Source organism: Homo sapiens, chromosome 1, assembly GCF_000001405.40.
Source record: "Homo sapiens chromosome 1, GRCh38.p14 Primary Assembly".
NCBI classification, from domain to species: Eukaryota; Metazoa; Chordata; class Mammalia; order Primates; family Hominidae; genus Homo; species Homo sapiens.
In genome coordinates, this window is record NC_000001.11 from 54,006,233 (window position 1) to 54,022,800 (window position 16,568).

The following is a 16,568-nucleotide window of genomic DNA, read 5'->3' on the forward strand; positions in this document are numbered from 1 at the left end:
TCCAGGCTAAATTGCCCTTGATGATAGCCCACTGCCATGCTAAGCGCTCCACGATCTGTCCCCTGCTCACCCCTTTCACCTCTTCTCCTAGCTCCTCACCCACCCTCTACTGTGGCCTCTCTGGCCTGTTGGACATTGCCTGGCTGAGCTGTACGATCACACTTCTGTGACTTTGTTCACATGCCCCCTCAGCCTGGAATGTCCTTTTCATCCACTCTTACCTTCGGAAATTCTTCTAGCCTCCAGAGCCAGCCCAAAGTCCTCCTCGTCTGGGAAGGAAGACTCCTCTGGTTCAGGGTCAGAACTAAGGATGCCCGAGGGCTCTCTCAGCTCCTGCTTGCACTGCAGTTGGAGAGAAACTGAGTCCCTTGGGCAAGATCCCTGAGGAATCCTGTTCCAGCAACTCCACAGTTGTTCCAGGTCAGAAAGGTGATTGTCCTGGCTCTGGAAGGCCCCTCCTCAGACCCCTGAGCCCAGCATTTCCTGCATTCCCAGCCCTCCCTACATGGTGTGAGGTGCTTCCTCCAGATGACCCTAAGCTCCTCGTGTGCTAGGATCCAGGTCTCTTCTCTGGGGGCTTGGCTCCTGGCTCACAGGTTGGTCCAAAGCAGGTTTGCAGAGACTGATGAGTGAACGAACGTATGAGGCAATAAATGAACCAGAGCTCACCAGTCCCTCGGATGCCTATTTTCAGTTTTCTTTTTAAATTTTTTTTTAAGTTCCGGGATACATGTGCAGGTTTGTTACATAGGTATACATGTGCCATGGTGGTTTGCTGCACCCATCAACCTGTCATCTAGGATTTAAGCCCCTATTTGTCCTGATGCTCTCCCTCCCCCACCCCCTACTGCTGACAGGCCCCAGTGTGTGTTTTTCCCCTCCCTGTGTCCATGTGTTCTCATTGTTCAACTTACACTTATGAGTGAGAACATGCGGTGTTTGGTTTTCTGTTCCTGTGTTAGTTTGCTGAGGATGATGGCTTCCAGCTTCATCCATGTCCCTGCAAAGGACATGATCTCATTCCTTCTTATGGCTGCCATTTTGAGTTTTCAAAACTCAGAAAACTGATATGTAAAACCAATTTTATTAATTTTTCAGTGGGGATATGTCTGTCTCCCTCGACAGGAGCCCTCCCATCAGGCAGATCCCAAGTCTCTCTTTCAGAATATGGGTGTCACACTTGCTGACCCTCAATCTCATGTTTTATTTTATTTTTATTAAAAAGAAATTTTTTGAGACAGGGTTTGTTGCCCAGGCTGGAGTGCAGTGGCATGATCATGCCTCATTGCAGCCTCAATCTCCCAGGCTCAAACGATCCTCCCATCTTAGCTTTCTGAGTGGCTGGGACTACAAGCATGCACCACCCCACCCAGCTACTTTTTTCCTATTTTTTGTAGAGACAGGTTCTCCCTATGTTGCCCAGGCTGGTCTCGAACTCCTGGGCTCAAGTGGGACACTTCCACCTCAGTGTCCCAAAGTGCTGGGATCATAGGCATGAGCCAGTGCACCTGACAAGCTCACTTTTAAAATACCCCGCAGAGACTGCCCTGGCCAAGGTATAATCACACTGGTAGCTGGAAAGCCTTCTGGGCTGGGGTGCCATAGGCTGTATTTGGGTTCCAGTTCCAGCGCTGACTTTGCTCTATGATTCTGGACAAGTCATCGCCCTCTCTGGGCCTCAGTTTTCTCATCCATCTAATGGAAATATTCATCCTTGCCTGCCTGGGTGGTGTGAAGCTGGAAAGATAAGCACAGAAGCAGCTCATTCAGGCTCCAGGATCAAAATATAGTCCCTACTTCCAGAAAACTGGGCTGTTTAGGCGGGCAGCTGGGCATAGAGTGGAGGGTGGGGAGTGCTGGGGTGGAGAGCAGGTTGGACAGACAGAAGACTGGTGAGGAGCCCTTCAAGCTGCTCTTTCTCCAGATCTTCTATTCTACAGCTCAGAGCTTCCTGGGGTGGCTTCCCACTGGTAGGATGCCAGATATCCTGTTTCATGTGCTGTGTCACTTGGTTAAATCAGTAGAGCCTGCTGGGTTAACTAAACTGGGGAAGATGCTAAAGTTGCATCCAAGCCCAGTATATCTGCCTTAGGTACCAAAGGGGTAGGAAGTGGCATATGTTTCACGTATGTGCCATCCATGAAGGCTAAACTCGGCTTGTCATTTAAGCCCCAGACATGTCATCACTCTAAGGGATGACGAGATTAGGATCCACAAGTATGCCTTGGAGCAGTTAGCAGATTTCCTCTGTGTGGCCCCAGAGACAGGCATGAAATCATGGAAGCAGATTCCCTTCGTCTTTGTTTGTGTTTGTGTTTTGTTTCATTTTTTTTTTGAGACAGGGTCTCACTGTGTTGCTCAGGCTGGAGTGCAGTGGTGTGGTCACAGCTCACTGCAGCCTTGACCTCCTGGGTTCACACAGTCCTCCCACCTCAGCCTCCCTAGTAGCTGGGACTATAGGTGTGCACCGCCATGCCTGGCTAATTTTTGTATTTTTGGTAGAGACGGGGTTCCACCACATCATCTTTGTTAGAAGCCACCTAACATGGTAATGAGCTCCTGGTCATTGGAAGCATTCAAGCAGAGGCTGAACAACTTGAAAGGAGGAGAGAAAATTCCTATTCAGAAATGATGTGTAGATCCCATTTCAAAGGCTGCTTCCTGCCCTTGTGCGCTAGGATTTGATTTTCATGTGAAGGGTTATCAGTGCCATTCCAGCCAGCCTTCCATGCTGGCCTGAGTGGCCCACTCAGGGTCCGGGACAGGCATACTCATCGGACCAGTCGGAGCAGTGCTGTACATGGTCGCGGCAGAGATGCCTCGGTATACAGTCGCAGTACTTGAAGAAGGTTGAAGGACAGCGCCACCACCCAGGGCCGCAGGGTGGGCACACAGTTACTGCAGAGACAAGAGCCAGCAGGAGAGCAGTTGCTGTGTCCTGGAACGCTCTGTGCACCAGGGCACTCCCTAGTTCTGAAACCTGCCGTAGCTCCCCATGGCCCCAACCCATCTGACGTGAGTTGAGTGTGTTCCTAGTTTTCCTGCGGCAGAGAGAATCTAGACTCCACAGCTCACAGGCTATGTGACCTCCCTCACCCTGTCTGAAACTGTTTCCTAGTGTGCTCAAGCTTGTTATCAAGCAAAGGATGTCAGGCAAAGTCCCAGGCACACGGTAAAGACTGCAATATGAATGGGTGCCCTTCCTTACCCTGAGTCCAGCTATGCTCACCTGCCATGACTGCCTGAGGGTGCTCCTAGCCTTCTCTCCTCTGCTCAGGCCTCCGGCATTCCTCCCCACACACCCAGCCTCTACCTACTGAAACCCGTCTATTCTTGGTCTTCTTGAATGCTACCTCTTCTGAGAAATCTCCCTTGATTCCTCCAGGTCCCCAGCACCTCCTTTCGGCATCAGCATGATGTGAGTCCTGGGGGTAGGACACATGCCTGATTCCTGATGTCCCCCACCTGAATCTGATACCAGGTGCGTTCTGAGCACCCCACCAATGCTCAGAACATGTTTGTTGATTGACCACTGGGGAAGAGATTGAGAGGAAACTCTAGGGCAGCTACAGGACTCGGGACTTGGATCAGGAGGCCTGGGTTCACACCTGAGCTCCCTTCCTGTCACACATTGTACTAAGTTTCTCCTCTCAAAGCCTCCATTTACTTACATACAAATTGGGGCCAGTGATTCCTGCCCTGCTTTCCTCACAGGGTCACTGGGAGGTGCAGAGATAAGGGAACCCCAGGTTCAAATCCCAGCTGGGCCATGTATGTACTCCTTGCATGACCACCTTCTGGGACCCAGTTTTCTCATCTGTGCCTTTGAAGGTGACTTCCCCACTGCAGAAGAATGAGCCTCCAGAAAAAGTCACTTGGAGTGGTAGTGAGTACCCCATCACAGGATGTATTCAAGCAGGGGTAGAAAACTCCTTCCTAGGATGCAGGGAAGCATGCAAGGGGGAGCCCTAGAGATTCCCTGCTCACCCTTTGCCCTCTGGCTGCTGCCTGGACACCAGCCCCAGCCCAGCCTGTGCCCAGACCCCTACCTGGGCTCAGTTCATCTGAACAGTCCCCGCAGTTGTTAGTGCCATCACATTTTTGGTCTGAGTAGATCCAGGAGGCCGGGTCTCCACAGTGGGCCACAAGGAAGTGGGGGAGGCTCTGGGGCACATCTCCTGTAGAGGTACAGAGGAGGCAGGAAGAAGTCCACATCTGGCCACAGCTGTCTGAGGGTTATCGGGAGGAGGATTGACCACCCTGGCAGTGGCCAAACTCAGGATCAGTGCCCATCCAGCCCAGAAGGGTGCAAGCAGAAGGTTTCCTGGGGAGGTGGTGGAGTCAGAGGGAGAGGAGAGCTCCGTTGCTGGACAGAGGCCCAGAGATCTGCCCCTCCCTTCCTCAGTTCCTCCCCAGCTCTGGTGTGTTCCTGCCCCACACCACTGCTGACACTATGCCCCCCTCCACAAAGAGCCTCCTTGACACCTATCCAAAACCATTCTTTCAAGTTCAGGTTCAAGTTCCATCACCTCCAGGAAGCCTCTTCCAACTGGAACATCACAGGAATAAATGTGGAGTCTTACAGTTGGGCCCCGGATCTCAGGGGAAGATCTAGGGTTCACACACCTTGTAAGGCAGAGTCAGAGCACCTTTCTTGAAAGTGTGTTCTGTTAGGCAGCAGTGTGATAGGGCTATCAAAAATTCACACAAACTCAGGCCACATCACTAGAGGTAGAAAACCTTGGGCAGGGAGGGAGCAAGATTCTGTTCGTTAGACTGCCCAGACCCAGCTAGAAGGGCTGAGGATGTTTCTGAGGCCTGTCCAGGGACGGGGACATGGGAAGTTGATATTCATTCTGTGGAGCATTGATGGAGTGGGGAGGGCCAGGAACTGGGTCACAAGGGGGCTGACTGTGACCTGGAGAAGGGGATGTGGCGTAGAGAAGAGAAACCTCATGGAGGGCAAGGGAGCAATCTTCAAATCCATGCAGCACCACCATCATGGCAGAAATTAAAGTGTGGTCTATCGGGGCAGGGTTGACAGAAGGACAGAGTTGGAACCAATCAGGGAGGAACCACTCTGGGAGGCAGCTCTAAGCCTGGGACAAGGAAAACCTTCCCATGGAAAAACCTTCCAATCCTTGCATCCCCTGGGATGCAAGCAGAGGCTGGGTGGCCTCGGTTGGGCTTGCTAGAGAGGGGATTGGGGATGAGCTGGGGCAAGGACTAGATGCTTTTGAGATTGCTTCTTGTCCTGAGGGTCTGTGATGCAATGACTCTCCCTCCATGAGCTCCCCCACCCCACCCACTGCACCTCTCCAGGCTCTCTCTCTCCTGTGGGGTCAGGCTCCTCTCTCCTGAGAACCTTCAGGTGTGTCTAAGGTCTGGGGCCAGGTCTTCCCATTCATTCATTCGCTCATTCATTCAGCAAGCCGTTCTGAATACCCCTCTGTGCTAGGCACTGGGGCCCCGATATCAAGCGGACTGGGCCTGCCTCAGAGGAGTTCACAGTCTGATGGGGGTGGCAGATGTGCCAATCAAGAGCGACAACCAGTGTGACAAGGGCTGGGACACAGGGAATCACAGGGACTGTGGAAGCCCAAAGGAGACACTTTAACCTAGTGTGGGAGTCAGGGAAGGCTTCCTGGAGGAGGTAACATTTGAACTCTGCCTTGAGGGATGAATACGGGTTCTCTGGGAGTGGAGACGCACAGGGTGAAGGCATTCCTTAGTGGGGGCATGTATGTGTGTCCCTGACTGGGACCAGGTCGGGGCAGGTGTTCCTGGATGAAGGCACTGGAGCATCAAAGCCATGGGGACTTGAAGGTGCCTGATGTGTTCAGTATGGATGCCAAGAGCATCGGAGTGTGGGGGAACCCCTGGGAGGGGCAGCACCGAGCGGGTACTCACGGCACAAGCTCTCATCCTCGTCCTCGCCGTGGGTACAGGTGCGAACGCCATCACAGACCCCACTGGCTGGAATGCAGCTCCTCTGGTCATGGCACAAGAAGCCTGTCCTGTTTGTCAGTGTTATACAAGCTTGGGCTCCTGAATGGGCAGGGAAAGGCCCTGGAGGGTCAAGGGTGGTGCTCACAAGGACAAACCTTCCTCACCTGAACTCCGCCTAGAGCTGGCCTGAGGGGCTGGGGCAGTGGGGAGGATGGACCCAGCGCCATCAATGGGGTTCAAGCCCCAGCTGTACCCGCTGCCGGCTGCCTGATCTTGGGCAGATGACCTGACCACCCTGAGTCTCAGGTTGTTTGCAACATGGGAATCATAGCACACACCCCGTGGGACTGTTGTGGGGATTAAATGAAAGCATCTCTGTGAAGAAACATAGAACAGAAAATGTGCAGAACTAGTAATGGTTCTCTCTTGTATTGAAAACTTATTTACAGTGTCATGGGAAGCTTCTGAGGACAATGTTCAATTCAGTGAAGTGGTTTTAATGGTGGAGCTCCTGGTACCAGGTTAGAGTGTCAGAAGCAATATATTTGGGCTGGCTGGAGGGCCATATGTCATAATTCCTTCTATCTGGGCACAACTGCAAAGCACTTTCATATCTTTATTCTATAGTTCCCCAAACACCCCTGCGACACGTCATCATTAGCCCCCCATATGGGAGGAGAAAAGGAATACCCACTCCTAGGGCTGCCCCAAAGAATTAAAAGGCAGAAACCTACGGACAAGGTAGGAGGAACCCCTTGGCCCCACATGTGTATACGTGTGCATAATTGGGGATGGGAGCCAGTTTGTGCATTTGTGTTTGTGCATGCGTGAACCACCTCTCAGTCCCTGGGCTGCCTCAGCTAGTGTGTGTGGGGGAGGCGGCGGGGGGGAGCAACTCTCAGAGACACTCATGTTGACACAGACACACACAGATGCACACACACATGAACACATGCTCACACACACACTGCTGCACCTATGTGCACACTCACAGATACACAGACAACAGATGTGCACACACGCACTGACACACAGACATGAACATGCATACACAGCTGCGTACACTCATAGACACGCTAAACACACAGATGTGCACACAGGCTCTTGACTGCAGCTGCTCATGTATTCATCCACCTCAGGGTCTGTGTTCCTGCAGGGCAGGGGGAGCGCTGCGAATCTCAGCCCCCGCCCCCACCTCAGCCCTCTATACCCACCCTGCCTGGCTGCAGAGCCATCCTTCAGAAACATCAGCCTGCCCCCAACTTGCCCCCAACTTAATCCCCTTTCTGTGGCTCCTGGACTATGACCTCCCTTCTCGGTGCAGCCTGTGAGGCCCTTGGCACTGGGCCCCACTTGTCACTCCAGCCCTTCCTGTGCACTGGCCTCTTGCAGTCTCTTCTTCTCTTCCTGCTTCCTCCCACCCCTCAGGGCTCCACACATGCTGTTCCCTGTGCCTGGGATGCTTTTCCTGGCATCCCCCCACTACTAATACCCATTGTTCCTACCCTGACTCCTCAATGGGGCTAGACTCTCAGGGCTCCCAGGGACCCCGCTGTAATGTGTATTCACGTCTAGACGGCTCTCGGAACAGTTATTAGCTCCTTGAAGGCAGGCACTGTGTTGGGGTTGTTCACCCCTGAAGCTGGGGCTGCAGGCATGTATGGGATGTCACCCGGTCCCCTGTGGTGGAGATGGGCACACAGTTGGATAGCACCACCCCGGGGTGGCCAGGCCAGGGGAAGAGGAAGTGTAGGGACTGGGGGGCTGAGAAGAGGCTCGTAACCCATCCTGGGGGTCTAGGAAGGCATCCTGGAGGAGGTGACATCAGAGCTGGGTCCTCTCAATAATCATGTCACAGATGTGCAAATGGAGGCTCAGAAACAGGTATAGTCAGTGTGTGTGCAGGTGTCTGTGTGTGTCTGTGCATGCACCTTAAGGAATTAGTCCAAAGTCACCTGGTGGAGAAGCCAGGCAGGTCGGGGCTCCCTCATCTCTCTGTGCCCTCCCATGCCCTCCCCGCCGGGTCTGACCCACCCTCTCTTGGCCGCCCTGACCTGGGGTGCATGATGGGAGTCCAAGAATGGTGACCAAGGCGATGAGGGCCGCCACAGTTGCCAGGAGGAGCAGCAGAGAGGCAGAGAGGCAGGCCCCGCGACGTGAGCAGCAGAGGTGGCCGCCGCCTGCTGTGTGGGGGGGAAACAAGCCCGGGGGTGGTGGTGATAGGGGGCCAGCGCTAGGAACAGGGAGCTCCCTCTCCGCCCTGCCCGCTGCAAGCAGCCTCTCCCCCACGAGGGTGAGCAGAGCAGGGATGGCTTCCCTGGAGGAGCAGCTCCCAAGCCCTCCTTGATGCTCTTTGTTCTGCCTGTGGGCCCACCCCACTAGGTGCCACCCTGGCCAGGGGCCCACAGCTGGCTGAATGGCAGAGGCGGACAGCCCTCCCCTCCCACCCGCCATCAGGAGACTTCCTCAGGACGCAGGGAGAGATGGACGCCTGCATGTCCAGCCCCCACCTTGGGGCAGAAGCTCCATTAGGCCCTTCATAAGCGTGCTTTATTTTTCAAAACAACCTTTTATTTTATCAATGAGGAAACTAGGGCTCAGGAAGAAAAGATTCATGTCACCCTGGGTGGAGCTGGCGTGTGAATCCACACCTGTTTGATGCCAAAACCCGTGCCCTTTCCACGATCCCAATTGACTGTCCATTCTGGAGTCTGCTGGGATGCAGGTTGGAATCCCAGCTCTACCGCATCCTACCTGGGCCACACTGAGTAAGCCACTTCACTTCCCTGTGCCTCAGTTTCCTCATGTGGAAAATGGGTACCATAATAGCTACCTTAGACTTTGTTGAGAGGATTAGAATTTGTTGAGTTAATGTGCACAGAGTAAGTGTTGAGTATGAGCTATTATTATTGCTTTTTTTAATTATTATTTTTTATATTTTAGAGATAGGGTCTGGCTCTGTTGCCCAGGCTGCAGTGCAATGGTGCAATCTAGTTCACTGCACCCTATAAGTCCTAGGCTCAAGCAGTCCTCCTGCCTCAACCTCCCAAAATGCTGGGACAACAGGCGTGCACCACTGTGTCTGGCCTGTTATTGCTTATTGAGGACTTACCATGTGCCGAGCCTTATTCTAAGCACTATGGAGATAGCAGTGATAGGGGACGTCCCTGCTCTTGTAGAACTGTACTTTAATTCTCCTTTAATTCTCCCCTGCTTACAAAATAATAAAAGAAGGCTTTACTGAGGACCTCCTGGGTGCCCTGCTGTGCAGCTTGCCCTGGTCCTTGCCCTCTGCAGCTTGTTATTGCACTTAGAAGGCAAGGCATGGACATGCCTGAAGGGGTGTGGGAGCTACTGACGTGCCCAGGCCACAGGTACCTCAGAGAAAGGGGCAGGAGCAGGTGTGATTCATCCCTGTGACCCCAGGGCCCAGCCCAGAGCCAGGCACGTGGTGGGGGCTTTTGTTTTTTTTGTTTTTTTTGTTTTTTTTTTGAGGCGGAGTCTTGCTCTATTGCCCAGGCTGAAGTGCAGTTGCATGATCTCAACTCACTGCAACCTCTGCCTTCTGGGTTCAAGCGATTCTCCTGCCTCAGCCTCCCGAGTAGCTGGGATGACAGGCGCCCGCCACCATGCCTGGCTAATTTTTGTATTTTTAGTAGAGACGGGTTTCACCATGTTGGCCAGGCTGGTCTTGAACTCCTGACCTCAGGTGATCCGCCCACCTTGGCCTCCCGAAGTGCTGGGATTACAGGTGTGAGCCACCACACCGGCCTGGGGCTTTGTGAACACTCTGTGAATATGCCGACCTGGGGGTCCAGGAGGCAAGAGAAGGCCCCCAGTATGGGTCAGTCCAGGTTATTTCCAATCCATTCACATTTCTGATGCAGTGTCCTCAGAAGCAGAATGGGATTTCCACAGGCAGGTAAGGGGAGGGTGCAAAGAGAGGGCATTCCAGGCAGAGGGCGTGGCAGGAGTAAAGGCCCAGTGGTTGCAGGTGGGGGAGCACAAATGGCCTGGGGTGGTGGGACTCCAAGATGGATGTGTATTGGGAGGGGAGACAATAGCAGGAGAGGCAGCATAAATCTAAAACCTGTCATCCCTACAGCCCTAGTTGGTGGCTCCTTGGCCATCAGCAAACAGGGTAAACTCAGGTAACCAGGGAGGCAGCGTGACTCTGGGCAGGGAGAGGTGTCCTGATCAGCCAAGCAGCTCCTCAAATATTTGTGCAGCACAGACCATGCACAAGGTGGGGCCATGGGAGAACCCGCAGAACCAAGGCTCCTGCCCAGGTGAAGCTGTTGCACTTCAAAGCCAGAAAGCCCTTAGGTGCCAGTCCTCTCCCTGTACCGATGAGGAAAAGGAGGTGATTCTTTCCACAACCCCGCCCATCATGAGTCAGGACTTAGAAATAAACAAACACCAGCTCGGAGCAACAAAAGCCCTGGGGCTTTGTAACCAGAGAGACCTCAGTTCACATTTGAACCCTGGCCCTCCAACCTCCCTGCTGTGTGACCTTGGCCTGGTTACTCAACCTCTCTTAGTTTCAGCTGTCTCATCTGTTATTGCCCCATAACAGGGCCCCTGTCTCAGAGCTGTCCTGAGGATTAAAGAGATCATGCAGTGCCAGGCACCTAACTGGGGATGGATTCTTTATAGCTGGTATTTTAATCTACCTCTCTGAGTGTGTTTCGTCATTGATCAAATGTGGGCCAAGCCAGGGCATATGCAAAGCTCAGTACATGTGTGTTTCTTCCTTCTTCTATTTTCAGAAGGGTAAAGAGGACTGTCCTGGTCACACCATGGGCCAGTGGCACATAGTAGGGCTAAATAAATGTGTCACTTTATCCATCAGAGTTAAAGAGAATTGCCCAGGTCACCCACTGAGTCAAGAATTTGACGCTGGTGCTCTTTTCTCTGTGTTACAGGTGGGCACTGTATGCAGTTTGGTGCCTGTGAGGTAGGCAGCACACAGTAGGTGCTTAATGAATGCATGTGCATGGAGAGAATGAATAACCCTATTAAGCAAGTGACTGTCAGCATGGCTGGCCAGGAAGCTGGGAGCAGACAACGTTAACATGGAGGCAGAGGTCTGAGGGACAGTGGGAGCCTTGAACCCTCCTCATGTCTCTATCGCCAACTGCCAGCTTCAAGGGAGCCCCACAGGGCACTGGCCCCAGGCCCTCCAGTTCTTTACCTTCCCCTCCAGGGTGGGCTTTGGATTCAGCAGCAGTGTAGCCATTCTCTCCCTGCCCAAGAGAACAGAGTGAGGGGTGGGCTTAGGTGAGGTGAGCTCCAGCCTCAGGGAGGCAGACAACAGGGTTTTCAGAGGGGTCACTGAGAGAGTCTTAGGTAGAACCACGGGTCCGTCACACCCCAGCATCTCACGCCCCAGATGCATCATGCCCGCTTCATATGTCCACACCTTTGCCTGCACTGTGCCCTCTGCCTGGAAAGCCTTTTTCTCTGCTGTCCACCTGATAAATATTCATCCTTCAAACCGGCTTGGGCAGCGACTCCTGGGTGAGGCTTTCCCTGATACCCTCCTCCCCAGTAAAACTGGCCGCTCTTCCCTCCTGTCCACCTGGCTCCTCTGTTTCCATACCAGCACTTGCCACCTGGACTGTATTGCTGGGTCATTGGTAGGGTCCCCTACACCCTGGGAGTGAGCCCCGGGGCAGGACGGGGGCTGATTTTCCTCCGTGTCTCCCATGTATGCCCACTCTCTACTGCCCACTCCTCATCCCAAGGTTTGCTCTCCCAAGATCAGGAGCCTGGTCAGGGCGGCTCTTACCTGGGGACAGCTCTTACTTGGAGACAACTCTTACCTGGGGACAGCTCTCACCTGGGGACAGCTCTCACTTGGGGACAGCTCTTACTTGGAGACAACTCTCACCTGGGGACAGCTCTCACCTGGGGGAAGACCTTGTTCATGTCTTCGGTTTCCTGCTGCCCGACTGGGGCTGTGTGCAGAGAGCTCAGCACGGGTTCCCTGCATTGTCACCAAGGCCAACCTGGAGGAGGGACAAGCAGGAGGCCTTGCCCGGGCCACACCCTCCCTGTGGGCAGGCCCCTGTCAGCTGCCTTCCAAGCAGAGGCAAAGGCAGGAGGGCCCCTCTCCGGCCAGGCTATTCCCTCATCTGCCATCTGACAGCAACATTGCGAGGCTGGAATCCTCATCCCTATTCCACAGATGAAGAGCCAGAGGTTCAGAGAGGGAGAAACTGCCCCAAGTCTCACAGTGCATGGGAGGAGTGAAACCCAGAAACTTTTCAGAAAGTGCATTTTCCTCCACATCAGAGATGGAACCGGAGGAGCTCAGGTTCCAGGGGTATGAAGATGCAGGCAGAAACTCCCAGAATTGACGTTTCGGTGGCTAGAAAGTAGGGGTCATTTTCTCATTGATGTTCTTCTGTTCAACTACATAGGTGACCTAGATTGAAAGAATATGCATTTTCCACTAAAATTATAAAGCAAATATAATTTTAAATTGTTTCATTTAGAAACGTGGCAATGTGAATTTTTACTGCCCCTGAGGTGGTGCTGAGGTAGGGAAGAGGCGGGGGGCTGGTTGCTTGCGTGAACAACCCCTTCTATGTCCCCAGTGAGTGGGTTTCCCTAGCAGCCTGTCCCACTGCTGAGTAAACCAAGGCCCTGGAATCTTGAGGGACAGGTCCAAGGACCCGGACCAAGGGAGGAGAGGTGTCTACCTCCAGAAATGAGCTCAGGAGTTCTTGCACCTGCCTCTGATGCCCATAGATTTTCCAACCTGCAATCAGCCTTTTCTTTTGCATTGGGAAATAAAATGATGAATCCACGTGGGTGCAAGTAGGAGGCACAGACACAGGGGCAGCCCTTGGGAGGCAGCAAGTAACATTGTGAAGAGCTGAGCCCTAGGCCGGGAGAACAGGACTCTCATTAGGGCCCTACCACTGGCTCTGACGGGTGACTCACTCCCCTTCCCTGCGCCTCAGTTCCTTCATCCAGAAAATAAAGATATAAGCTAGATGAAGGGGGTGTTTTAGTTTAAGGTTCCCCAGAATCAGACTCTAAGACAAGATTTGAGGGCAAGTAGAGTTAATTGGGAGTGATCCCAGGAAATGCTGGTCGGGGGGTGAGGGAAATGAGACATGGAAGAGAAGGATCCGATAACAGTCGTGTTATGAAGCAGGTTTCCGCTGTGGGCAAGTGGAATTTAGCCCTGCTGGGGCACTCGGGGAAGCTAGGGGAGAAGATGCCCCTCAGAGTTATCCCACTCAAGGTGAGGGGAACTGGGGTAATAATCTGCCAGCTCCTGCCAGTCTTGGTTGAGAATGGCCAGAGGAGGCCAGGCATGGTGGCTCATGCCTGTAATCCCAGCACTTTGGGAGGCCGAGGCAGGTGGATCACCTGAGATCAGGAGTTCAAGACCAGCCTGGCCAACATAGTGAAACCCCGTCTTTACTAAAAATACAAAAAATTAGCCGGGCATGGTGGCAGGCGCCTGTCATCCCAGCTACTCAGGAGGCTGAGGCAGGAGAATTGCTTGAACCTGGGAGGCAGAAGTTGCAGTGAGCCAAGATTGCGCCATTGCACTCCAGCCTGGGCAATAAGAGCGAAACTTCGTCTCAAAAAAAAAGAGACTAGCCAGAGGGTGTTAATTCCTTGTACCACTGGGCTGCCTTAGGCAAGGAGATGTCAGTGATGGCAACTTAGCAGCTGCACGCTAAGCTAATATGTCCTGAAATGGAAAGCGCTGATAGCATGGGCAGGGCACCCATGGTCCCTACTAAAGACACTAACTAGATTTTATCTGGCATGTCAGCTGCAATTGATTGCAAAAGGCTCTCTGGAACATGGGCCTCAGAAGGATTCTGAGGTCAGAACTGTGATTGACTAGTGATGCCTGCCATGGGTGTAAGAGTGGAGAGGGGTATCAGACATGATGGCTTTCACTCGCATCCGTGTGAAGAGACCACCAAACAGGATTTATGTGAGCAATAAAGCTGTTTATTTCACCTGGGTGCAGGTGGGCTGAGTCCGAAAAGAGTCAGCGAAGGGAGATAAGGGTGGGGCCGTTTTATAGGATTTGGGTAGATAAAGGAAAATTACAGTCAAAGGGGGGTTGTTCTCTGGCGGGCAGAGTGGGGGTCACAAGGTGCTCAGTAGGGGAGCTTTTGAGCCAGGATGAGCCAGGAGAAGGAATTTCACAAGACAGTGTCATCAGTTAAGGCAGGAACCGGTCATCTGGATGTATACGTGCAGGTCACAGGGGATATGATGGCTTAGCTTGGGCTCAGAGGCCTGACAATGACCATTTGCCATTCCTGGACATATTAATGCCCTTCAGCCTCTGGCCTTCCTTGACTCCGTGATTCTTAAGTGTTCCTTTATAAAAAGACTCCCCGGGGCTTTGAAATGCCCTTTCATCTGCTGAGTCCAGGTACAGCCACATACAACTATGCTGAAAGCACTGCGTCTCTCCAGGGCTCAGGCTGTCACCAAGAACCCTTGAGGGAAGGGCAGCAGGGGGCCTGGTGACATGAAGGACAGGCCCTGGTGCCTCAATCCTTGAACTTCCTGGAATCATATCCCCTGCAATTCACAGTCTCACTCTCAAGGGGAGGGCATGGATGGAAGGGAGGCAGATATTATTTATTGAGCAGCTACTATGCTCCAGGCACTACACCAGCCACCTTACACACGCCCTCTCCCTTGATCCTCACAACAACTCTGAAAGATAGGTAATATTATTACACCCACTAGACAGATGCAGAAACTGGGTTCAGAGAGGTTAAGTAACTTGCCAAAGCCACACAGTGGGTAAACAGCAGAGCAGAGATTTTAACCCAGGTCAGTTTTGCCTCCAAGCAGAGTTGATTCACACTCCCTCCCTTGTGGATGAGAATTTCTGTTGATCACATCTCTGTCAACACTTAGTACCATCAGACTTTTTGATTTCCTCCAGCCTGACAACTGTGAAATACCATCAGTGGCTCGCCGCCTTTAGGATTTGCAGTCCTCTTTTGCTTAACCTCAGATGTGTCTCATTCTAAAGCAGGGAGATGCTGGGCACTGTGGCTTGCACCTGTAATCCCAGGACTTTGGGAGGCCAAAGTGGGTGGATCGGTTGATATCAGGAGTTCGAGACCAGCCTGGCCAACATGGTGAAACCCTGTCTCTACTAAAAATATAAAAATTAGCCAGGCACGGTGGCCCACGCCTGTAATCCCAGCTACTTGGGAGGCTGAAATGGGAGAATCGCTTGAACGAACGGAAGGCAGAGGTTGCAGTAAGCCGAGATCGTGCCACTGCGCTCCAGCCTGGGTGACAGAGTGAGACTCTGTCTCAAAATAAATAAATAAATAAATAAAGCAGGGAGAATGGTGAGTGGTGGATGGAGAGTTCTAGCAGCAGCTTAAGGCGGTGCCCATATTATGAGGGTTAGAGGAGGAAATTGGAAAGAGTGGAAAACAGGGCTGCCAGAGTCCCTCAGGGAAACTCAGAACTTTGATCAGCAGAGTCAAAGGGACCTCAGGCTCAGAGAGAACAACGGCCTCACTTTACAGAAGGGGGATCTAAAGTCCGGAAAGAAGAGGGGACTTGTGCAAGGCCATACCGTGGTCAGTGTCCCAGTACAGCGAGCACTCCTTCCACAGCAGCAGATGGCCTCAGGGACATTGGCACGTGCAGCCTCAATTTTTTTTTTTTTTGAGACAGAGTCTTACTCTGTTGCCCAGGCTGGAGTGCAGTGGCGCGATCTCCGCTCACTGCCATCTCTGCCTCCTGGGTTCACGCCATTCTCCTGCCTCAGCTTCCCAAGTAGCTGGGACTACAGGTGCCTGCCACCACGCCCGGCTAATTTTTTGTATTTTTAGTAGAGACAGGGTTTCACTGTGTTAGCCAGGATGGTCTCGATCTCCTGACCTCGTGATTTGCCCACCTCGGCCTCCCAAAGTGCTGGGATTACAGGTGTGAGCCACCGTGCCCAGCCCAGCCTCAATTATTTTCAGCCTCACTGTCTCTCTTGCCTAGGGTACAGGCCCCAGGCTGCCAACCTCACGTGTCCCAGCAGTTGCTCCTGAAGGGCACTGTTCAGATGCTTGGCCCACGTTGTCCCCTCCTTCTCTACTGTCTGCTCTCTTTCTGGTTAGTTAGAACTGATGGCAGGGGCTTTCACTGCCTGTTCTTGTCCTAGCGGAAGGCAGTTGTTGGGATAGTTATATCATGAACACTAATGGCTTGGGCTGTAGTAAACAACCTCCACCTCCACCCTGCTGGGCCCTTGGCCTTGACTAGGACTCCTGGGCCAGGGCTGGGTAAACTTCTAGCAAGAGCACAAGTTTTGGAGCTGATAGTCCAAATGGTCTCACCACTAGCTGAGTGATCTTGGCTGGGTCACTTAACCTCTCTGAGCTGAGCTCAGATTGAGGCTGGGCTGGGCACGGTGGCTCACGCCTGTAATCCCAGCACTTTGGAAGGCCGAGGTGGGCGGATCACAAGGTCAGGAGATCGAGACCATCCTGGCTAACACATTGAAACCCCGTCTGGACTAAAAAAATACAAAAAATTAGCCAGGCATGGTGGCGGGCACCTGTAGTCCCAGCTACTCGAGAGGCTGTGGCAGGAGAATGGCATGAACT

At 52.9% G+C, this 16,568-nt stretch overlaps 1 protein-coding gene across 7 annotated transcripts, besides 1 other annotated feature; it reads right to left on the minus strand.

The window, feature by feature from the left end:
• Positions 1-1,065: 1,065 nt before the first annotated feature.
• On the minus strand, positions 1,066-11,954 carry LDLRAD1 (low density lipoprotein receptor class A domain containing 1). Of its 7 annotated transcripts, none has more exons than XM_011541446.2 (6): positions 11,860-11,954; positions 11,144-11,195; positions 8,004-8,129; positions 5,911-6,048; positions 4,050-4,178; positions 1,066-2,898 (listed from the first exon to the last, which is right to left on the minus strand). In XM_011541446.2, exons 1-6 carry the CDS (start codon positions 11,878-11,880, stop codon positions 2,750-2,752), a joined length of 615 nt encoding a protein of 204 aa, XP_011539748.1. In that variant the 5' UTR covers positions 11,881-11,954; the 3' UTR covers positions 1,066-2,749. The 7 variants fall into 7 exon arrangements, with proteins under 7 accessions (XP_011539748.1, NP_001010978.2, XP_016856753.1 ...); NM_001010978.4 differs by having other exon boundaries at positions 8,004-8,132; XM_017001264.2 differs by lacking the exon at positions 8,004-8,129 and having other exon boundaries at positions 1,066-1,737; positions 5,911-6,017.
• Positions 13,852-14,353: an enhancer, noted in NCBI's record as "NANOG hESC enhancer chr1:54485757-54486258 (GRCh37/hg19 assembly coordinates)". NCBI's record gives its function as "activates a minimal SCP1, AML or CMV promoter by ChIP-STARR-seq in primed H9 embryonic stem cells {active_cell/tissue: H9 hESC(primed)}" and the evidence as "EXISTENCE:reporter gene assay evidence [ECO:0000049][PMID:30033119]".

Coding starts and splice junctions, on each gene's coding strand:
- LDLRAD1 (NM_001010978.4), bottom strand. CDS start 11,880: ATGAACAAGGTCTTCCCCCAG. Junction 8,133..11,143: donor AGCCCACCCTGGAGGGGAAG/GTAAAGAACTGG, acceptor CCCCCCACACAG/CAGGCGGCGGCCACCTCTGC. Junction 2,899..4,049: donor TTCAGATGAACTGAGCCCAG/GTAGGGGTCTGG, acceptor TTGTCTCTGCAG/TAACTGTGTGCCCACCCTGC.